This window comes from Homo sapiens, chromosome 9 (assembly GCF_000001405.40).
Source record: "Homo sapiens chromosome 9, GRCh38.p14 Primary Assembly".
In the NCBI taxonomy this organism is placed as follows: Eukaryota; Metazoa; Chordata; class Mammalia; order Primates; family Hominidae; genus Homo; species Homo sapiens.
The window spans coordinates 26,987,352-27,012,032 of record NC_000009.12 but is presented as its reverse complement, the minus strand read 5'-3'; the positions used below and the strand labels follow the sequence as shown (position 1 = coordinate 27,012,032).

General features: G+C 35.7%; 2 protein-coding genes across 6 annotated transcripts in view; one reads left to right on the top strand and one right to left on the bottom strand.

Moving 5' to 3' along the window:
• IFT74 (intraflagellar transport 74) overlaps positions 1–24,681 on the bottom strand; it is a 119,025-nt gene that overhangs the window by 54,102 nt on the left and 40,242 nt on the right. For all 5 annotated transcript variants that reach the window (NM_001099223.3, NM_001099222.3, NM_001349928.2 and 2 more), the window contains exons 7-10: positions 23,305–23,364; positions 21,838–21,899; positions 2,875–3,013; positions 65–127 (exon numbers count right to left, since the gene is read on the bottom strand). In NM_001099223.3, the coding sequence (NP_001092693.1) occupies positions 65–127; positions 2,875–3,013; positions 21,838–21,899; positions 23,305–23,364 (324 nt within the window). The remainder of the gene's footprint in view (positions 1–64; positions 128–2,874; positions 3,014–21,837; positions 21,900–23,304; positions 23,365–24,681) is intronic.
• Positions 6,361–18,897, top strand: LRRC19 (leucine rich repeat containing 19). The gene is made up of 5 exons (NM_022901.3): positions 6,361–6,441; positions 12,330–12,419; positions 13,792–14,305; positions 15,534–15,722; positions 16,184–18,897. The coding sequence occupies exons 2-5, from the start codon at positions 12,339–12,341 to the stop codon at positions 16,510–16,512; spliced, it is 1,113 nt and encodes a 370-aa protein (NP_075052.1). The 5' UTR covers positions 6,361–6,441; positions 12,330–12,338; the 3' UTR covers positions 16,513–18,897.

The window sequence follows — 24,681 nt, the reverse complement described above, 5'->3', positions numbered from 1 at the left end:
TACTTGGCTGAATTAACTTTTTTAGCTGAGTAGTATGAGAACCCTTATTTGATTTTATACTTACTGCTTCCAGGCTCTCTTTTTTCATGTTCTGTGAATCCAATTGTTGTTGAAGTGTATCTAATTCCTAAGTGGAAAAAAAAAAGCAAACATAAATCCAAATTACATTAAGAATAATTTGTTGTAGTGGGGGGAGGGAGCTGGGAAAAAAAATTTATTTCTCTGTTTCTCAACATTTCAAAGTGACTAAGTAAATTTTCTAAATATCTTCACTGGCATCTTACATTTTGACTAGAATTTATTAACACTTCATTATTTCTATTTTTCCCAACTTCTTTCATTATTCTTAAAAACTTGCTGTGTGCCTTCAAAAAAAAAAAAAAAAAACTTCATGAGTTTCTCAAAAGTAGCTAGACCTTAGACCTTTTCACACTGAATCATCACTATGTTCTGAGACATCAAATATCAGAAGCTTTCAAATTATGTCATTGTTTAAGATTATTATTTAAAATTTTGATTTGTAACCGTGTTTTCACATCTTTTGCCTAATTTCTCTATACTGTGTACACACACATATAACACATGCACACATACATACACATATATGTAAATATAAATATGGTTCACATGTACACATACATACACGTATATGTAAATATAAATATGGTTCACTCCTAAGATAAGATCCTTAAACTGTTTACTCATTCATTATCCCATACAAGATTAACTATATTTTGGTACTATTTTGGCATTTCTATCATACTCTTTCTTTTTTCTTTTTGAGACAGAGTCTCGCTCTGTTGCCCAGGCTGGAGTGCAGTGGCATGATCTCGGCTCACTGCAACCTCCGCCTCCCGGGATCAACCAAGTACCTGCCTCAGCCTCCCGAGTAGCTGGGATTACAGGGGCCTGCTACCATGCCTGGCTAATTTTTGTGTTTTTAGTAGAGACAGGGTTTCACCATCTTGGCCAGGCCATACTTTTTCTTCAACGCTTCACAGTATCTTAGAAATCTTCTCTAAAATAAAAAGGTTACTAAATTGTCAGCAAAGGAATGTCTAAGAAACTAAAACTATAATCATTATTGGCATTTATGGGGCCTAATTCTTTGCTTAATCTTTAGTTAAGGGCCATCTGGGCATGAAAGGGAACCACCATGACTGAGTATTGAGAGGATTCTCAATATGCCCTCAACAGGGACTTAAATTGCTTATTTAATATTGCATGTTCTCACTCATCTGTAGGAGCCTAAAAAAGTGGATCTCGGCCGGGCACAGTGGCTCACGCCTGTAATACCAGCACTTTGGGAAGCCGAGGGGGGCGGATCACCTGGCTAACACGGTGAAACACTGTCTCTACTAAAAACACATAAAAAATTGGCCAGGCGTGGTGGCGGGCACCTGTGGTCCCAGCTACTCAGGAGGCTGAGGCAGGAGCATGGCATGAACCTGGGAGGCGGAGCTTCCAGTGAGCCGAGATCGCGCCACTGCACTCCAGCCCGGGCGACAGAGCGAAACTCCGTCTCAAAAAAAACAAAAAAAAAAAAACAAAAAAAAGGGGGTAGTAGAATGATGGTTACCAGAGGCTGAGAAGGTGGTGCCCAGTTGGGGGCATGGGGTGGTGTGGGGGAGAGAAGGAATAAATTCTCATGTTTGATAGAACACTAGGGTGGCTATAGTTATCAGTAATTAATTGTATGTTTCAAAATAGCCAGAAAAGGAGATTCAAAATGTTTCTAGCATAAGGCCGGGCGCGGTGGCTCATGCCTGTAATACCAGCACTTTGGGAGGCCGAGGCAGGCGGATCACGAGGTCAGGCGATCAAGACCATCCTGACTAACACGGTGAAACCCCGTCCCTACTAAAAAAATACAAAAAATCAGCCGGGCGTGGTGGCGGGCGCCTGTAGTGCCAACTACTTGGGAGGCTGAGGCAGGAGAATGGCATGAACCCGGGAGGCGTAGCTTGCAGTGAGCCGAGATGGGCACTGCACTCCAGCCTGGGCGACAGAGCGAGACTCCGTCTCAAAAAAAAAATTTTTTTTAAATTAAAAAAAAAAAAATGTTTCCAGCACAAAAAAAATGCCAAATGTTTGAGGTGATGAATATCCTAATTATCCCGATTTGATCATTATACATTGCATACGTGCATGGAAATATCACATGTACCCCATAAATATGTACAATTGTGTATCAATAAAAAAATTAATTTTTAAAAATGGAAATTTAGGCAATATAATTACAGGACAATAGCCATTCAAATCATAATGCTAACAGGTAAAAAGGTTAGCTGTTTATTAAGCAGGAAGGAAAAGGAAAGTAAATATATATATGGATCTGGTCTATGAGGCCTTTTTTTTTTTGAGACAGAGTCTCGCTCTGTTGCCCAGGCTGGAATGCAGTGGTGCAATCTCAGCTCACTACTGCAACCTCCACCTATGAGGCCTTTTAATGTTTGCATTAAAAGTCTGTAACTGCAAGTATTTACAGACTTTTTAATTTACAGACAAGTATTTTTATCAATGCAAACATTTATAGAAAAGTACTTTTATAAATGCAAATATTTATAGACAAGTATTTTTATAAATGCGAGTATTTTCATGTCTTTATGAAATGCAAAATGAATAAATAGAAGTAAACCAAAAATAATAAGAGTAAAAGCTAGGTCATCAAACAGCAGATGAAAATGAAGTTTTCTAAATAAATTCTTCTGAAATGTGAATATACGTATGAATCAGATGGGGACCTTGTTAAAATGAAAACTGATCTCAAAGTATAGTCAAGTTCTCAGGGGATGCTGATGCTGCTGATATTCAAACTATACTTTTAGTAGCAAGAATGATACATGCTTGGCACACAGCAGTAATTTGTATTACCTGTAACAGTTTCTCATTTGTGGTTTTCATCTCTAGGTACTTGACTTGGTTTTCAAAAGACATATTTTTGATAATGTCATCTGTTGCTTGTTTTTCCTGTTCAATTTCTTCTTCGACACTTCTGATTTGTTTTTCTTTCCTAAAATCAGAAGCACGTAATATTCCTGATACTATATTGAGGAAAAAATATCCAATTATTTTATACAAGTCATGGTCCTAATTTAATAGGATACTTAAAGACATTCAACCACAGTGTGTGACTGAAAAGTCTTTATATTTGTACTAAAAAATGCTATTTGACCTATATAAAATTTGGCCCCATTAGCACAAACTTATTTTTACATCTTTCTCTTCTCCATCCCTAAATTCCTCTATTTCCTTACTCTCCATTTTATTTTACTAAGAAATCACAAAGATTACCAAAAAATCCTTAATGACTTATATATATGAGGATGCATTTATACTTTTTTAAAGTTATACCTTCAAAAGACAAATAAGAGGCTGCGCTCGGTGGCTCACGTCTGTAATCCCAGCACTTTGGAAGGCTGAGGCAGGTGGATCACCTGAGGTCTGGAGGTCGAGACCAGCCTGGGCAACACGACAAAACACCCATCTCTACTAAAAGTACAAAAATTAGCCACACGTGGTGGCGGGCACCTGTAATCCCAGCTACTTGGGAGGCTGAGGCAGGAGAATCGCTTGAACCCAGTGGGGAAGAGGTTGCAGTGGGCTGAGATCGCGCCACTTCACTCTAGCCTGGGCAAAAGAGCAAAACTCCATCTCAAAAAAAAAAAAGACAAATAAGTTTTAGAATTGTGGTTTTAAAGCATCCTTTAGCCATAAGTTTTTCTGACTAAATTAAATACTGTATAGAAGTTTCCCGTGTAAATCATCCAGTGTGGCTCTGACAGAACTAGGGAGTAGAGAGGCCTGCAGTGCAATTTGATTTTTTAGTTATGGCTTTAGATTAATAATATGCTTTGCTTAAGTTCTCTTTTACTTACTGCTTTAGTTAACATTGCTATTTCACAAATTTTTGCTATTTTTTAGCATTGTAAAATATTAAGCTCATTTCTCTAAAAACACAATAAACATTACAAACATAATCCTATAAAAGTAGTAATAGTGAAATTAATTAGAAGCAATAACCATTTTTATCACGTAATCAAAAGAAATACCAATGACATGTCACTTGTTGCCTAGGCAAGGTCAATTATTGATAGGGTAGAGAAAAACTCTGAAAAAAGAATAGGTAAGATGCCACTTATCTAAATACTTTCAAGATTTACATTTTATAAAAAGCTGGATTGAACACACATTTTCACTCCCAAGATCATTAATTTCTATTTTGAGTTTCAAAATCTGATTAACCTATCACTATTTACTCTCTTTCGCTCATAGATACCAACTTCTATAGTTTTCACAATCACCAGCTAAGCTTGTGGATCCACATATCCCCTACACACCTTCTACACATTCATATCCTACTACTAGAATAAACAACCTAAACTCAGAAATTTCCCTACCAAAAAAAATCTCAAAATAACCAAATAAAAGATGAACATAGTAAAGCAACCTGGAATTTCAATTTATTTTTGTTTCACTGTTGGAGAAGAAGTGGTATCTTCACTTGGAGCTTCAATTACAACAGTAAAACAAATGTGTTTCCTGCTGCTACAATTTGTATAGGTATATGAGCTCAAAGAAATTGAAAGGAAAGTATCTATTTTCATAAATTAAGGATACTGAAGCCCAGTGGAATTAATCTTTTGGAAGGAATTCATTCTAAATTTGATTACTGACTACCAACAGTGTTTCTTCTTTCAATGTAGGAAGATGAGAACTAATGTTATAAAGTATTCCATTTTACAGAGGAGAAATTACAGCATAAGAAAAGTAACTGACTTTCTAAAGGCCATATGATGTCCAGGTGTAAGGTCTTTTTGATGCTTTGAGTACTTTGCTCCTGTTATAACTTGGCAGTAAAACCACTGATGATGGTGTCATAAAAGTAAGTAAACAGGCTGGGCATGGTGGCTCATGCCTGTAATCCCAGCACTTTAGGAGGCCGAGGCGGGCAGATCACGAGGTCAGGAGATCGAGACCATCCTTGCTAACATGGTGAAACCCCGTCTCTACTAAAAATACAAAAAAATTAGCTGGGCGTGATGGTGGGCGCCTGTAGTCCCAGCTACTTGGGAGGCTGAGGCAGGAGAATGGCGTCAACCCGGGAGGCAGAGCTTGCAGTGAGCCGAGACTGCGCCACTACACTCCAGCCTGGGTGACAGAGCGAGACTCCATCTCAAAAAAAAAAAAAAAAAAAAAAACACACAATAATAAGTAAACAAAAACGTTGAAACTCAATAGAATACAAAACTTGGTGGTATCTTTACAATTTGAATCCCTCCCTACCTCCTTTCTTTTCTCTCTCTCTCCTTTCCTTCCTTCCTTTTCCTCCCTCCCTGCCTCCTTCCCTTCCTCCTCCTCCTCCTTCCCCTCCCCCTCCTCTCTCTTCTCTTCTCTCTCTCTCTCTCTTTCCCTCTCCCTCTTTCTGTCTTTCTTTCTTGACAGGTACCACTTGTCACCCAGACTAGACTGTGGTAGCACAATCATGGCTCACTGCATGCTCAAACTCAAGCCATCCCCCCACCTCAGCCACCCAGGTAACTGGGACTAAAGGCACACAACACCATGCCCTGCTAATGTTTTTACTTTTTATTTTGAGTAGAGACAAGGTCTTGCTAAGTTGGCCGGGCTGGTCTCAAATTCCTGAGTTCAAATTATTCTCTCATCTTAGCTTCTCAAAGTGCTGGGATTACAGGTGTCAGACTCTGCACCTGACCTCAGTTTGAATGCTTCTAAGCACAAAATACCATCAGGACAAACATAAATTAATTTAGCAACAGTATATCTTTCAAAAGTATGCATTTTCAATATTGTAAACTCTAAATCAGTAAGTAAAATTGTTAATACTTTAATAAAATTTTCAAAGAGTAATTAAGAAACACAAAGGTAGGCTGGGTGCAGTGGCTCACACTTGTAATCCCAGCACTTTGGGAGGCTGAGGCAGGGGTATCACCTGAGGTCAGGAGTTTGAGACCAGCCTGGCCAACATGGTGAAACCGCATCTCTACTAAAAATACAAAAATTAGCCAGGTGCAGTGCCGGGAGCCTGTAATCCCAGCTACTCAGGAGGCTGAGGCAGGGAGGAGAACTGCTTGAACCCAGGAGGTGGAGGTTGCATTGAGCCGAGATCATGCCACTGCACTCCAGCCTGAATGACAGAGCGAGACTTCATCTCAAAAAAAGAAAAAAAAGAAAGAAACACAAAGGTTAGGCAAACAGCCTTACTTGTTATACTAAAAAAGGAAAAGATGACTTTAAGAAATTATTCTTCTAGTCAATCTTTTGCTAAGGAAGTCTAGTTTTTTTTTTTAAATCACCTGTTCACTGGGTACAAAGGTTAAAACAAAGTGAAATGTAATCATACGATGTACTTTTTTTAATGCCGTTGAAACAGAGTTAATTTCCTTTAGCACACAAGTCTTAGAGACAAAAGAAAAAAAGGTAAGATATGTATATTTATAGCTTTGGTTATTGTTGTATTTTTTTTAATCATATTTAAGTTTGTTAAGTCTGTACAACCATCTTTGCCTTTAAGAAGTGATGAAAAATAAGAAAATATGATTATATTTTCACATGGTCTACCTCAAAAATACTATATACCTGAGACATGGCCAAAGGGTCTTTCCTAAATAAAGTTAGAATACAATACTAAGTAATTGTTTTGCGGGGGGCGGGGGGGGAAATGGTTTCATCTAGCCAATCAAATTTATAAGAATTTTTATTTTAAAATATGTTAATCACAGAGCATTCTGAAGTGACACTAATCTAAAAGCCAATTGGCAAGATAAAAAAAAGACTGGCCATGAGTTGATGATTATTGAAGCAGGCTGATAACTATTCTTCTTACTTAGGTTTTTTCCTTGAAATTTTCCATTACAAAAAGGTTTTAAATCTGAAAAAAATCTACACAATAGTTAAATAAGGAAACAAAGTTAATTGTGTATTATTAACATCATTCTCTAAATACATTGAATTCTGGCATAAATATCTAAAATACTTAATGGAAAAACTACATTTAGATTTTAACAAAACCAAAATAATTACAGCATCTCTTTATTTCATAGCATATAATAATCATATAAAGTAAATAACTTAAGAAACATGTACTTGAAACTTTATTAAGAACAATGCTTCTTTTTCAGTATCTACCATTTCCTTTGAGTAAAGCTCTTTTTTTTTCAGTAACGTAGATCATATGCTAGGTAAAAATGCACGTAATTTTGTGAAATAACAAAAGAAACTGATATTCCATCTTCTATTCCAGTTTTCTATTTTATATTAGCTCCTAAGTAATCACTATATGAAACTCAACTATCATTTCAAAAAAAATCCAAATTAGAAAATATTCCAAAAGGAGAAAGAAAGCAACAATGACTGACTTCCTTTTAAACCAACTGTTGAAACAGGCTAAACTGACTGATGGATAATTTCTGCATAATCTACTTGGCCAGCTATTCTGCGTATCTGATTTTCTTTTTTTAAAGACACCCAATAATGCTAGCAAATGCTTTGTCTGGGGACTTACTCAGTGTCATGATAATCGACATCACCCCCTCTTTCAATCTTTCTCCTCTGAAAAGGCACACAAATATGTGAAAACTCTCACAGATAGTATGGATCAATCAATGTATTTCACAGCTTCAGACCTAACGATGCTTTAGATTTGTTGAATGCTTTCTTGTACAGAATCTACCTTGAGCTGAGTATACACTGCTTCCAAGATCTATCCAATGGAAAGGAAAAAAAATCCTTTTCTAATCCTTATGATTTTTTTCTTTTAGCGCACTTGAGAAAACAATTATTAGCATTAAATAGCAGATACAGATAATAAATATAAAACCATACTCCGTCTCCATTTCCACATAAGCTCACAGTCCTGTCTTGCCTCCATTACTTTTTTCACCTGCTTCTATTTCATATCAACTTTTAACTTAAATCTAGTTCATTTTCTTTGTAGCCTATTTGCTTTCTTTCACTATCCCCATCCTATTTGTTTCTGGAAAAAAAACAGCACTTCCCTTACCCACCTCTCCTCAGTCACCTCTGCAGCCTACTAGAGACATCAGTAAGAATTTCACCACATCATTGAGAAATACTGAAACAAGCCATTGAAGGAGCTGAACACCTATTCCTATAAATCATTAAACATAGGTAAACTACCTTTTGTAAATGATTTAGGCATCCCTCTTCTATGGGCAATCATCTTGAATAAGTGATAGTTTAAATGCACTTCTGGCTCTAAAAGGGATTCTATTATGATCTACATCCAAATTTTATAAAATATAGGAGGCAGAGTAGCTTTTCCTAACAAATTTCATTTAACTATGGAAAGAGAAAAGGTAGAAGGGGAATGTGCATAAATGGATCAACAAATCAAAGGCAATGAGGAAGTTGACTAGAACAGACTAGCACTAAAATAGCAGTAAATTCCTTATTGCTAACGAGGCGAGAGACTTTAGTATGCTGCATGGATTCTTGCCTACTCTGATTAGTTTTTCTTTTTTTTTTCTGAGACAGAGTCTCACTCTGTCACCCAGGCTGGAGCACAGTGGCATGATCACGGCTCACTGCAACTTCTGCCTCCCAGGTTCAAACAATTCTGCTGCCTCAGCCTCCCAAGTAGCTGGGATTACAGGTGCCTGCCACTGCACCCGGCTAATTTTTGTAATTGTAGTAGAGATGAGGTTTCGCCATGTTGGCCAGGCTGGTCTCAAACTCCTGACCTCAGGTGATCTGCCCGCCTCGGCCTCCCAAAGTGCTGGGATTACAGGCGTGAGCCACTGCACCTGGCAGACATGATCTTACACTTAAAAAATTAAAAAAAAAACAAACCCTAAATACTCCACAAAAAATCTGTAAAAACTGACAACTGAATTCAGTAAAGTTGCAAGATATAAAATCATCATATAAAAATTGGTAGAATTTAGATATGCCAACAGTGAAGAATCTGAAAAAGAAATCAAGAAAGCAAGCCTGTTTACGATAGCTACAAAGAATATAAAATACCTTGGAATCAATTTAACCAATGAAGTGAAATATCTATATAACAAAAACTGTAAAACACTGATGAAAGAAACTGAAGAGGATACAAAAAAAAATGGAAATATAATCCATGTTCATGGAGTGGAAGAACATTGCTAAAATATCAATACTAACCAAAGCAATTTACTGATTCAATGCAATTCCTATCAAAATACAGTGACGCTCTTCATAGAAGTAGAAAAAAAAATCCTAAAATTCATATGGAACCATAAAAGATCCCAAATAGCTAAAACAACCCTCAGCAAAAAGGAACAAAGCTGGAGGCATCACACTACCTGACTTCAAAATTTTCTACAAAGCTATAGTAACCAAATCAGCATGGTACTGGCATCAAGACAGATCCATAGACCAATGGAATGGAATAGAGAACTCAGATATAAATACACACATTTACATCAACTCATCTTCAACAAAGGTGCCAAGAACATAAAATGGAGAAATAATAGTTGTTTCAATAAATGGTGCTAGAAAAACTGCATAACTATATATGGAAAAATGAAACCAGACCCCTATCTCTTGCCATATCCAGGAATAAAAATGGATTAAAGACTTTAATAAGACCTCAAACTATAAAACTGTTTCAAGAAAACACTGGAGGGCTGACTCTCTTTTCGGACTCAGCCCACCTTCACCCAGGTGAAATAAACAGCCATGTTGCTCACACAAAGCCTGTTTGGTGGTCTCTTCACATGGACCCGCATGAAAGTGGCACATGCCTGTAGTCCCAGCTACTCAGGAGGCTGAGGCATGAGAATCACTTGAACCCAGGAGGCAGAGGTTGCAGTGAGCCAAAATGGCATCACTGCACTCCAGCCTGGGCAACAGAGCCAGACTCTGTCTCAAAAGAAAAAAAGATCTGGTTGTTTAAAAGTGTGTAGCTCCTCCCTCTGCTCTTTCTTCCTCCTTCTCTAGCCATGTAAGACATGCCTGCTTCCCCTTCACCTTCCACCATGATTGTAAGTTTCCTGAGGACCCCCCAGACGTGCATCCTGTACAGCCTGTGGAACTGAGTCAATTAAACCTCTTTTCTTTATTTAAAAAAAAAAAAGAGAAAAAAAGAAAACGTTGGAGAATTGCTCTAGAACACTGGCCTGGACAAAGATTTTTTTGTGTCTCTAAGACCTCAAAAGCACAGGAAACCAAAGCAAAAATGTACAAATGGGGTTTCGCCAAGCAAAAAAGCTTGTGCACAGCAAAGAAAATGATCAAAAAAGTGAAGAGACAACCCACGGAATGAGAAAATATTTGCAAACTACCCATCTAAAAAGGGGTTAATAATCAGAAGATATAAAGAGCTCAAACAGCTCACTAGCCAAAAACAAACCGATAAAAAACAAATAATCCAAGTAAACATGGCAAAAGAACTGAATAGATATTTCTCAAAAAACACACAAAAGACAAACAAGTATGTGGAAAAAATGCTCAACATCAGTAATCACTCAGGGAAATGCAAATCAAAACTACAATGATATATAATCTCACCCCCATTAAAGTAGCTTCTATCAATATGACAGGCAATAACGGATGCTGGTGACGATGTGGAGAAAGGGGAACCCTCATACACTCTTGGGAATGTAAATTAGTATAGCCACTCTGGAGAGCAGTATGAAGGTTCCTTAAAAAACTAAAAATATAACACTTACATTTACATTTGATCCAGTAATTCCACTGGGTATACATTTAAAAAAAAGAGATGAATATATTAAAGAGATAGCTGCACTCCCATGTGTATTGGAGGACTATTCACAAGAGCAAAACTATGGAATCAACCTAAGTGCCCATCAACAGATGAATGGATTAAAAAAAAGTAGCATATATATACAATGGAATATTATTCAGCCATAAAAACAAATGAAATCCTGTCATTTGCGGCAACAAAAACGGAACCGGAGGTCATTATGTCAAGTGAAATAAGCCAAGCACAGAAAGACAAATATCACACATTCTCACCGGCATGTGGGAGCTAAAAAAGTGGACCTCATATAGATTAAGAGTAGACTAGTGGTTACCAGAGGCTGGAAAGGGTGGTAGGGAGGGAGGAATGCAGAAAAGTTTATTAATGCATACAAACATACAGTTTGCTTAAAAAAAGAAGGCCTAGTGTTAGATCAGTAGGGTAATTATAGTTTACAGTAATTTTTTTCCTTCAACTTTTATTTTTAAGTTCCGGGGTACATGTGCAGGTTATGCAGGTTTGTTACATAGGTAAACATGTGCCACGGTGGTTTGCTGCACAGATCAACCCGTCACCTAGGTATTAAGCCCAGCATCCATTAGCTATTTTCTGATGCTCTCCCTCTCGTCTAATTTACTGTACATTTAAAAACAGCTAGAAGAGAATTTGAATGTTTCCATTATAAAGAAAAGACAAATATTTAACGTGTTGGATATCCCAAGTACATTAATTTGATCTTTAAAAATTATATGAATGCACTACTTTATCACATGTACCCCAAAACTATGTATATCTACCACGCCTCAATAAAATTTTTAAAAGTTACCATGGGGGGAAAAAGAGTGCTAAAGATTCTCATCTCCCACAGTTTTAAGTCAAGAATAATAGATAGATAATGCCAATAGATAATGCCTAAAATTGAAAAAATCAAGACCATCAATATAAGCATATACTTAAACATGCATAAATATACGTTTTCCTGAATTTCTTTTGTGCACTTCTATATTAAATTTTTAAAATTTACAACCACTTAAATTGCTTTAAAGCTCCTTTCATGAGATCTAGAAACTAATGAGACACACTTAAAAATATTAATTTTCTCTAAAAAGAAAAAATAGAAATCAGTCTCATTCTTCAAAGGGGCTTTCTAGTTTATTAAGATCAGAGTGCAAGGATGGTGAATGGCCATGCACTTGTTTCACATTTTATGTATTTCAAGAAAAAGTAGATTTGAAAGGCCAGGGTAAGTGGCTCATATCTATAATCCCAGCACTTTTCAAGGCCACGCCAGTGGCTGGGGGGAAATGGCTCGCACCCAGGAGTTTGATACCAGGCTGAGTAACACATGGTGACCCCATCTCTACAAAAATTTTTAAAATTAGCCAGGCATGGTAGTGCATGCTTGTGTTTCAGCTACTTAGGAAGCTGAGTTGGGAGGACTGCTTAAGCCTGGGAGATCAAGGCTGCAGTGAGCTGTGACCATGCCACCAGGTCTGTGTGACAGAGTGAGACCCTGTCTCAGCCAAAAAAAAAAAAAAAAAAAAAGAATAAACAGATTCAAAAGAGGGAAAAATAAAAATGTCCTTAATGAAAATACTCTCTTTTCTATCAGGTCTGCAACATGAAAGTCACAGGCATCACAATCCTCTTTTGGCCCCTCTCCATGATATTATTATCAGACAAAATCCAGTCTTCTAAAAGAGTAAGTTTTTACAATCAAAATAGTAAAAATATTTTCAAAGGTACATTTTCTGTATATTTAGTAAAATATAAAAGGGCAATAAGAAAGCAAAGAAAATCTGACCTACTAAAATTAAGAGTTTATTTAGCTCTGTATATCCAAATTCCAATTTGACAAAAGCAGCCTTCATTTATAAAAACTGAGTTCTTTAAAAGTTGATTAAAGGGAGAGATCTGAAAATTTTCACTATAAAATCAGAAATTAGTTTTAAGAGTAAAATCTTGTTTAAAATGTAGGAAACTTTTTTTTAAAAAGCACATATTTATGAGAGAAACTGCTATTGAATTATTATTGGTGAAAAAATCTAACTGCAAAAACAGTAATAAACCAGAACTATTCTTAGTTCTATTTATTCTTAGTTTACTGTTCAGTAAAAACAAGAACTATTTCTTTCTTTCCATCTATATCCACATAAAGAATTTCAGATTGTGTGGCTCTTTAAATTCAATACCTGGCTCCATTTCTGATAAAAGATAAATATTTCCTTTTAAAACACCAAACTTTGAGCTGTTAAACCCAGAGAGTTTAAGAGAGTTAAACCAGAGAGTTTATTCAGACTGATTGATTGATTGCTTGCTTTTGAGACGGAATCTCGCTCTGTCGCCCAGGCTGGAGTGTAATGGCATGATCTCAGCTCACTGCAACCTCCGCCTCCTGGGTTGAAGCGATTATCCTGCCTCAGCCTCCCAAGTAGCTGGGATTACAGGTGCTTGCCACCATGCCCGGCTGACTTTTTTTTTTTTTTGTATTTTCAGTAGAGACAGGGTTTCACTGTGTTGGACAGGCTGGTCTTGAACTCCTGACCTCAGGTAACCCGCCTGCCTCAGCCTCCCAAAGTGCTGGGATTACAGGCGTGAGCCACCATGCCCAGCCCATTTATTAATTATTGAACAGCCCTAGGTATAATGTTGTTAGCTCTGCTGATTTTAAAAACACATATAGTTTAAAATAATTTCCTCACTATAAAGCAATTGTGCACACTGGAATATTAAATGTTAACAGAATTATTATTTACCATACATTTCCACATATATAAATGGGAATATTCCAGTAGCATTACTTTCTGTAATGATCATGTAATAACAGTTGGAAAATACCCGTATGACAAATTGGAATCTCTTTGTTCAATTGTATGTATCAGAATATCCTTAATTTTTAGTATTTCATCCCAATAAAGAAAAAGATTTGCTCTACTGTAACACCAAAATATTAGATAGTAGGTTTTTTTCCCAAAATAACGTCCTTCTAATGTCTAAGTGCTTAAATATGAAATTTGGTGAAATTCTATTAATTTTTTTTCTGATTAATGCCTTTCTTTTTTTTGTTTTTCTAGGAAGTCCAATGTAATTTTACTGAAAAAAATTATACCTTGATTCCAGCAGATATCAAGAAAGATGTTACTATACTTGATCTCAGTTATAACCAAATTACTCTTAATGGTACAGACACAAGAGTTCTACAGACATACTTTTTACTCACAGAGCTCTATTTGATTGAGAACAAGGTTACTATCTTACATAATAACGGTTTTGGTAACCTCTCCAGTCTAGAAATTTTAAATATCTGTAGAAACTCCATCTATGTAATTCAACAGGGTGCATTTTTAGGCTTAAATAAACTAAAACAGTTATATCTCTGCCAAAACAAAATAGAACAACTGAATGCTGATGTATTTGTGCCTCTAAGAAGCCTAAAACTTCTGAATCTGCAAGGCAATTTGATTAGCTATTTGGATGTACCACCACTATTTCATCTGGAATTAATAACTTTATATGGAAACCTATGGAACTGCTCTTGCAGTCTATTTAATTTGCAGAACTGGTTGAACACATCAAATGTGACATTAGGTAAGCTATCATAATTAAGCAAAACCAAAATGTGATTAACTCAATGTTCCACCACAGAAAAATCTCTCATATCACGTTTTAAAGAAAAGGAAGCAGCCAGGCGCAGTGGCTCATGCCTGTAATCCCATCACTATGGGAGGCCAAGGCAGGGGGATCACCTGAGGTCAGGAGTTTGAGACCAGCCTGGCCAACATGGTGAAACCCCATCTCTGCTAAAAATACAAAAATTAGCTGGGTATGGTGGCGCATGCCTGTAGTACCAGGTACTCAGGAGGCTGAGGTGGGAGAATTGCTTGAACCTGGGAGGCAGATGTTACAGTGAGCCGAGATCGTGCCACTGCACTCCAGCCTGGGCAACAGAGTGAGACTCTGTCTCAAAAAAAAAAAAAAAAAAAAAGGAAAGGAAACAATTTCTGTTTAAGCAAAACAGGAAGAAACACTAAAAAGTAACAGCTGCATAGATGCTCTCCTTCCCCATTACCAGGGGGAAAAATTAAGAAATTTTTTTTTTTTTTGAGACAGAGTTTTGTTATTATTACCCAGGCTGGAATGCATTGGCGTGATCTCAGCTCACCACAACCTCCGCCTCCCAGGTTCAAGTGATTCTCCTGCCTCAGCCTCCCCAGTAGCTGGGATTACAGTCATGAGCCACCACGCCTGGCTAATTTTTTGTATTTTTAGTAGAGATGGGCTTCCTCCATGTTTGTCAGGCTGGTCTCAAACTCCCGACCTCAGGTGATCCACCCGCCTCGGCCTCCCAAAGTGCTGGGATTACAGGCATGAGCCTCTGCGCCCGGCCAGAAATGTAAATGTTCTATACATGTGAGATGATAATGTCATTTCATGTATTGTTAGCAAAGTCAATATGTCAGACTAATTTTTTAAAAGTGCTTCCTAGACTAAGTGAAAACAAGTGACGTATTTTAACTGCAAACCATACTGTGCCTGAGATCCAGATTGTAACCATGTAACCACAATATTAATAATAAAATCTACACTAATACAGATAAACTAAATAACAAAGATACTGCATTTAAGCCATATTTATAAAATAATAAACAGAAATGTGCATCATTCTTTCATTATGTTGCTAGACAAATACAACAGGAATTTCTTATAATGCCTTTAAGAATGACAAATATGTCAAAAATTCTAGATAAAACAATTATAAAATGTTGTTAACTATTATTTTTCTCTATACTAAATCTTATTCTTTCTGATTTACTAGAAAATGAGAACATCACCATGTGTAGCTACCCCAACAGCCTGCAGAGCTACAATATCAAAACAGTACCTCATAAGGCTGAATGCCACTCAAAATTTCCTTCATCAGTAACTGAAGATCTTTATATTCATTTTCAGCCCATCAGCAATTCAATATTTAATAGCTCTTCGAACAACTTAACAAGAAATTCAGGTAATATACTGGTTCTATATATTAACACTGCTGAATGTATCATACTAAATAAACTGAGGTAGTTATCTTTATTTTAAATTTGTATAAAAAATGTAAAAGAAAGATTCCTCATCTCAACTAAAGATTTACAAAATATTGCTCTTCCAAACTAGGCTCTGCTAGTTACAAGCCAAATGCCATCGTGCAAATTATTTAACTTCTCTGAGCCTTTGTTTTAACTAGTCTAGTCACAAATCTTAACGAGTATAAATCAATAATGGTCTTAGGTAAAAGGGTAACAAAATTGCAAACACAGCTATTTTGAACAAAGAGAATTCATCCACCAAACAAAATCTAAAGAAAACTACAATGTATGTTTATTTTTAATACCAATATTGAGGAGAATTAGGATATATAATTATGATTATTTTGCCAACTTAACAAATTTTCTTTCTCTCTCCTCTCTTGGTATTCCATTAAAGAACATGAACCTCTTGGAAAAAGTTGGGCTTTTCTTGTTGGTGTTGTTGTCACTGTACTGACGACTTCACTTCTCATTTTTATTGCTATCAAATGCCCAATATGGTACAATATTCTGCTTAGTTATAATCATCATCGCCTGGAAGAGCATGAAGCAGAAACCTATGAAGATGGTTTTACTGGAAATCCAAGCTCTCTTTCACAGATACCAGAAACAAACTCTGAAGAAACTACAGTAATATTTGAACAATTACATTCATTTGTGGTAGATGATGATGGATTTATTGAAGACAAATATATAGATATCCATGAATTATGTGAAGAAAATTAATTTCTTTCAAAGTTTGCTTTTTAAAGCAAAGTTATCAGCTCACTCAGTTTAGATATGGAGATTTTGCTATGTGACATAACAAAATACAGCTGGCAGGCATTCATATTAATGACAACATACATGAATATCATAAAATTATGTTCTTTGCATTATATTGAGCAAGCAGGTTCAAATACAGTAACTGACACTCCTCGGTAGTTGACAGTTACATAGTCTACAATACTAGCACTACTATTCTTAGCAGTGCTTGGGTGACCATACGAACTAGTAAAAAGGTCTAAATTATTCATGAATTAAAATGAATGGATTCTCATATTAACACAGGTATTTGACATAATATGTATTAAGTTATACTAATGTTTCAATCAGTAAAGAAATAAAAGTTTAGGATTTATTAATATATGGAAGTCAAAGTGAGGAACAGAGATAGCTTAAATAATACACTAAGATTGATTTTATGCTCCCAGAATAAAATCATAGAGTTGGAAAATATTTTTTTGAAATGCTTCCTGAAATAGCACAATAAATTTCCTTAAAATTTCATAGCAATTTAAAGCACAAGCACAATGTTCAGGCATAATCCCTAATAAGTCACTATTGATTCTGGTTATAAAGAAAGGCTGTCACCATAATGCAGGATCACTACAGTTTAATGTCATACTGGCTTCCAAAGTGGGCATCACAATTATCTATAAATCTTGTTTTAAAAATACATATTTCCACCTCTCTCTGGGAGATTTTTATTCAAATTGGTCTGTGCTGACACTAAGGAATCTTCATGTGGTCCATGGACAGCTATTTCTATCTATTCAGTAGATAGAGCAATGTTTCCCAAATTGTTTTTCTAGAATACTAATTTCCAGAGAGACATTCACAAGTATTTACAGAAGAAGAAGGAGGTACATGGTCAAATTACTACAGGAAAAACTAGTAGTTTAAACAAGGTGAAACAAGATTCTTTTTCTTTTTTTTTTTTTTTTTTTTGAGACAAAGTCTCGCACTGTCTCCCAGGCTGGACTGCAGCAGCGCAGTCTCAGATCACTGCAACCTCCGCCTCCTGGGTTCAAGCAATTCTTCTGACTCAGCCTCCCGAGTAGCTGGGAGTACAGGTGCACACCACCATGCCTGGCTAATTTCTGTATTTTTAGTAGAGACAGGGTTTCACCATGTTGGCCAGGCTGGTCTCGAACGCCTGACCTCATGATCTACCCGCCTCGGCCTCCCAAAGTGCTGGGATTACAGGCATGGAGCACCGTGCCTGGCCAAGATTCTTTACAATAGGATTTATGTAAAACTTTACTAAGCTAAACTGCTCTCTGATTATTCAAGAGCAAAGTATTAAAAATTTCTCAAACTTACTTGACAACAAAACCCATTCTTTCAGTTACATCTACTAAGAGCTCGTAGTTCAATAACATTCCAAAGAACGTAGTTTGGAAAACACTGGCCTATCGGCTGTAATAGGAAGGGTCTAAAGAAAATTATTTGCTGAGTCCTCATAATCAATTGGCTATAATCACAATTTAATAATTTATCAATGCAAACAGTACATTAAAAACTGTAGCACAATCTATAATTTTTACCTTCATATGCAGAGAAATTAAGAATTTACATCTTTTACAAATATGTATATCTCTGAAATAATGAAATATATTGATGGGTGAAATAATATTTCTGGTATTTTCTTCATTATAACACGTGGAATGGAACAGTGGCTAGAGGTATGGATGGAGCAAGGTCAAATATGAGCTGATGGAGCTGGGAGCTAAATAAGGGTATAATATGCTACTTCTGTGTATGTTGTGTATGGTATAGTATGCTATTTCTGTGTATGTTCAAATTGTTTATGTATATAATAAAGTTTTAAAAATTTGTATGTACTTGACAATTCCTTAGAAAAAAGAGGCTAAAATAAAATAGATCTATGTCATAATCTATAGAATAGTCATTTTAAAAGTTACATAATTAGTAAATTCAATACAAATGTCTACTGAGAGAAAATAAAAACTAGGATGATATACCTGTAAAATAGAAGAACTTACTAATTTATAATACATATTTGCTTGTGTTTACAGACACATGTTTTCAACAAAGGATATAAGTATATTATGGCTAATGTTTCTTTATATATCAATTATACTTTGTTTTAAACCTTAATTATAAGAATGAGATGATTATAGGAACATAAAATATCTTTTTCTAAACAATGTATCATTCTGCTAAATTATTTCCTAATTATAAGATGCAAATATTAATATTTGAGAAATGTAGCAAAATGAAATATAATTGCAAATGAGCAAAGACTACACTTAAGCTTTTATATTCAAGGGCCTCTGTTGAATATGGGGTATTCAATAAATATCTGACTACACAAAGAAAAATAAATGGGTATAAAATTATAATTACATATATTTTTACAGGACAACTGATCTTGACTAATATTAACTAGAAAGTGCAGGATTAGAAGAGAATCATTAGTTCAAGCAAGACTGTGAAACTGAATTAATGCCAGGTGTCTTACATATTGTTGTTGTAATATATTGAGGCTGTTTATTATAACCAACTTTTTATAGATGAGTTTTCCATAATAAACCAGATGGTCAGACCACACTAAATGGTTGTATTGAAAGAGAAGAGAATGAAAACAGAAGCTTTTTACACCTGCCTTCTCGAGGTATGGCATTTCTTGGTCACTCTGTGTAGAGTCAAGATAGATCTTTGTGTTATTGAGACGTTGGCCATCTGGTTAACACAAGAAATAAATCTATTCTACTGCTGTATAGAAAAGTAACCTTCGTAACAATACTTTTTGTTATTTTTTTTTTTTTGAGACAAAGTCTCGCCCTGTCACCCAGGCTGGAGTGTAGTGGCGCAATCTCGGCTTACTGAACCCTCCGCCTCCTGGGTTCAAGTGATTCGCGTGCCTCAGCCTCCTGAGTAGCTGGGATTACAGGCACCTGCCACCTCACCCAGCTAATTTTTATATTTTTAGTAGAGACAGAGTTTCGCCACATTGCCCAGGCTGGTCTTGAACTCCTGACCTCAGGTGATCCACCCACTTCAGCCTCCAAAAGTGCTGGGATTACAGGCATGAGCCACTGCACCTGGCCAATTGTTGTTCTTAATTTCAATTTCTGCCTAAAACAGACAAGAGAACCAATTTCACTCAGCCTCAATTACAAATTACAGACAGAGTTTTTAAATGGTTTGGATGTATCTTCAGGACAAATTACCATATTTGAAGATTTTCCTAAATAAAAAAAACCAAATAGATGTAAAAATCTATGACATTCTTTAACTTTTATTCTTGAAATTATGTTTTCAGATGAAATATCTGTAAAATATGTAAATATAATATTTAAAACCTGACCTAGGTATTATATAACTTTGAGATAAATGATGAAATAAATGAGAACTTAAATGTTCTAAACTCTTTAAGGCCTTCAGGGGATTATAGCTTATATATTTCTCTATTTTTTTTTTTTGAGACGGAGTCTCGCTCTGTCACCAGGCTGGAGTGCAGTGGCACGATGGCGCGACCTCAGCTAACTGCAACCTCTGCCTCCCAGGTTCAAGTGATTCTCCTGCTTCAGTCTCCCGAGTAGCTGGGACTACAAGCCCGTGCCACCATGCCCAGCTAATTTTTGTATTTTTAGTAGAGATATGGTTTTACCGTGTTGGCCAGGATGGTCTTGATCTCCTGACCTCATGATCCACCCGCCTCGGCCTCCCAAAGTGCTGGGATTACATGTGTGAACCACCACACTGGCCTATAGCTTATATATTTCTTATTCTTTGAAGTACCTAAGAGAGTATCTTATATATAGTAAATGATAAATATTTGCTAAATGGATTAAAACCAGGATAACAAAAAAAAAAGGAACGTTTTCAAGTAAGAGCGTGGTTACCATGAACAAAATTTTCCTTGTAAAAGGAAAAAGACTGCTAGTATTTTGAGTTTATAAGATACCACTTTACAGCAGCAGCAAATGATAGATGGTGGCCGGGTATAATGGTTCACTCCTGTAATCCCAACACTTGAGGAGGCCAAGGTAGGAGGACTGCTTGAGACCAGGAGTTTGAGACTAGCCTGAGCAACGTAATAAGACCCTGTCTCCCCAAGAAACAAAAAATTAGCTGGGCATAGTGGCATGCACCTGTAGTCTCAGCTACTTGGAGGGCTGAGGCAACATCGCTTGAACCCAGGTGTTCAAGGCTGCAGTGAGCCATGAGCATGTCACTTCAATTCAGCAAGGGCAACAGAGCAAAACTCTACTTAAAGGCAGGGGAAAAGAGATTCTTGTTTTTAATCAATAGAAGAATTACATTTATCTTTCAAATGTTTTATCAGTATATTTTAACATCTATCCATCATCAAATATTTACTGTTTTATGCAGAGGTAACAAGAGAGTGTATTTGCTGTTACTGAATTTTGGTAATTGAATATGGTAATTTGGGTTTATTATTGTCTTTGCTCTCAAAGAGACTAATATTAACAAATTTCTGGGAGAGAATGTGCTTGTATGTGTGTTTACACAACATAGCTCATTGTGTTTGTGTTGCCTTAGAATAAATAATTCAGGAATAAAATTTGTGTTGGTTCTAAATTAATTATTCTTCATCAACTTTTTGACCTTAGAACCAACACAAGTTTTATTCTTGAATCATTCAGGATTTTATCTGAGTATCCCTAGTTAACTCAACCTGTGCATACCCAGCCTAGAATATGGACCCATCCCAAACAACTGACAAAACACAAATAAGTTAACTACATCACATCTATTATTATCTTTGTAGGCATTACTCCCACTGCCACAATTACGTTATTTCCAGCGTTAGTTGGTATTTAGTCTTTAGATAGGTTATATATAAAGACACACATACAATCTATATATGACGTAGATTGCTAATATAACTATTAAATATCAATGCTAATGAAATAATGTAAATAGCTTCCTAATGAATAATGTGTCTTTCACTAGATTGGGGATGAAACACCAAAATTCAAATTAGTTAAAAGCCCAGGTTAAAACCAAAAATAGTAGATATAAAGATGTTCTTATCCATCATAAGTGTTCAGCTGCTAGCAGCATAAATCCTATTTATATAAGCTATGTAGCAATAGTCTTTATACAGAATTTAGGTATTTAATGGTAAATGAAGATAACAAGTATAAGCAACAAAATTTGTGTTGTAAATATTTTTAAATGAAAAAGGCAATGGGGAAATTGTTAAGAAAATTTACAAGGAAATAACTGGATCACAACTTAAACTACCTAATAAAGCTTACTTATGAATCTAATTTTTAAATTAGCTATACTTACGCTTGTCTTTCAGTAAATATGACATCCAAACTTTGTGTTTCTCGATCATTTTGAGCTTTAAGCTGAATAAAGTTAACACATAAGTTAGTAAGAAATAAATATTAAACCAAATTTTTTCTTTGTAGGTTATTTTGGCTAGGAACTAAATGAGAAATTACTATAATTATCCTAGTGCCACATACAAAGTTTAAGAAGAAAAATAAAGTAATTGCCTCATTTAACAAACAATATCAGATTTTTAAAAAGTCTTTTTAAGAAGCATTGTAATCTTATACCAAAAATATTCATTGTTCTTCAGTGATCTGTCAAATAATTCAATGTAAATTCAATTTATGTAAACAGCATTCAAAGAATATATTGAGTGTTCAATAAATATTTGATTAGTAATATGTTAAATTTAGAACCACCACAAGTTTTATTCCTGAACCATTCAGGATATTATCTGAGTACACCTAATTAACTCTACCTGTGCACACCCAGCCTAGAAAACAGACCCCCCATCCCAAACAACTGACAAAACACATAAGGTTTTTACTTTTTATATCTGGCATTGAAATAAGATTCTTAATTAGTGAATTCTCTTGTGTTCTAAAGCTAAAAGTAACTAAATTATCATGGTTTGAGAACCCCAAATTTAGAAGAGTCATTTTATCAATCCTATGTCTTCATAGAACAGTCTTTACTCATGTAAATAAATTATAAACTATATAAATTATAAATTGTATGTTATTTTCATCCAAATGCTTATAATCAAAATAAGCTAGCTATTAACATATTTTATTGTTTTCTACCAAACAATTAATCTAAGAACATTGAATACAAATTTGTTTTTATTTTAGAATCAGAGGTACATGTGCAGGTTTGTTGCATGGATATATTGTATAACGGTAAGGTTTGGGCTTCTAGTGAACCCATCACCCAAATAATGAACACTGTACCTGCTAGGTAATTTTTCCACCCTTATTGCCCTCCTACCATCCCCCTTTTTGGAGTCCCCAGTGTTATGTCCATGTTAAACACAGATTCTCATTTACCAATCAAAAATTAATATTTTATGTCTGGAGTCATATCTATTCATTTTTCTCCACTGGTGACAAAAACTATGTAAAGTTATCATTTGTCACATTGAGTATTCATCAACATTTGTGCTTAAACTAAGCCAGAAATACTGTAAACTAATATATATAAGGAAATGGAGATGGCACTCCCTAACTAATGTTGCACGTGACACCAGTTCAAACACAGTAGACAGTCACTAAACACCCACTTAGGAAAGCCAATCAACAGGAAGAAAATTTAAAAGAGCAACTAAGGGAGCTCAAGGAATACCTAATAGTGGTATTTACAATCAGAGTAATATTCACCTCTATAGCACTTAAGGTTTTATCAAACTATTTCTAGATATAAATGCTTTGTTTTGTAGGATATGACTTACATAGATCAATTTGCTTTTATAAATTTTCTTACCATATTGTAATCATTCATTACTTCTTCCATTTCAGTGTTGGTATTAAGTTTATCTACCAACTAAAAACAAAAATACAAACAAACAAACACCATTTTGTTAGTCTTTACACATGTTCTCTATAATTAATAATATAGGTATTCAGTCTTACAAATAATGAGTAGTAACTTAAGTATTAATACTTTTGAATATTTTCTATTTTAAGATAAAAACAAATATTGAGCTACCTAAGTAAGCATATATTATGCACCTGGCCAATAAACAAATCACATTTTTAACATGGATAAATGAGCAGTAATAAACAACTCTTCCTGAATATTATATCTTGTGGAGCTTTGCCTGCTCTGAAAAGATGGCTGAGCTTATAAATAAGGGTTTGGAACAGACGAGAGTTTTGGAAAGATCTATCACCCTCTCTTCCCCTGCCAACATCCCCAAGGAGAGAGGAATGTTAGTAGATTTACAAATTTACACTAGTAAGCCGGGCTCGGTGGCTCAGGCCTGTAATCCCAGCACTTTGGGAGGCTGACGCGGGCGGATCACCTGAGGTCAGGAGTTCAAGAACAGCCTGACCAACATGGAGAAACCCTGTCTCTACTAAAAATACAAAATTAGCCGGGTGTGGTGGCACATGCCTGTAATCCCAGCTACTAGAGAGACTGAGGCAGGAGAATCGCTTGAACCCGGGAAGCAGAGGTTGCGGTGAGCCGAGATGGCACCACTGCACTCCAGCCTGGGCAACAAAAGTGAAATTCCGTCTCAAAAAACAACAACAACAACAACAACAAAAAACAAATTTACACTAGTAAAAACATAAAAAGATATTCTTTATCTTCTAATAATTAAAAAAAAATCAACAGGGCTTGCACAGATGGAACAGTAGTAAGTCTACTTCAAAAAGTTAGGCAAGGATATCAGTTGTCAACATAGGATATTTACCTAGTGTCAAACACTATTACATATGTGTTAACTCAATTTTTACAATTACTGTATGAAGTAGATATGATTGTACACATTTTACAGAAAAAGAAATTTAGCAAGCGATAGAGCCAGAATGTGAACAGAAGGTCTACTAAAAGCAAACTATTTGGGTGTAAGGTATATCACATTTTTCATTTATGATATAAATAATAAGTGCTAATAAGGCCTAACATTTATTGAGTGCTAACTATATGTCAGATACACAGCTAACTGCTCTGTATCAGATATTAGCTCATTAAATCTATAAATAGCATATTTTATATGGTAGTATTTTTATATGAATATGCCTAATTTGTTCCAGCATAACTAAAACTCCCTTTCATCTCATGTCATTTCATACCTTTAAAAACTACTTTTCTCGGCCGGGCGCGGTGGCTCATGCCTGCAATCCCCACACT

What these genes read in the sequence shown, in the direction of transcription:
- LRRC19 (NM_022901.3), top strand. Translation starts at nt 12,339, where the DNA reads ATGAAAGTCACAGGCATCACAATCCTCTTTTGGCCCCTCTCCATGATA. An exon ending in AAATCCAGTCTTCTAAAAGA is followed by an intron (nt 12,420 to 13,791) that starts GTAAGTTTTTAC and finishes TTGTTTTTCTAG; the next exon opens with GAAGTCCAATGTAATTTTAC. An exon ending in CACATCAAATGTGACATTAG is followed by an intron (nt 14,306 to 15,533) that starts GTAAGCTATCAT and finishes CTGATTTACTAG; the next exon opens with AAAATGAGAACATCACCATG.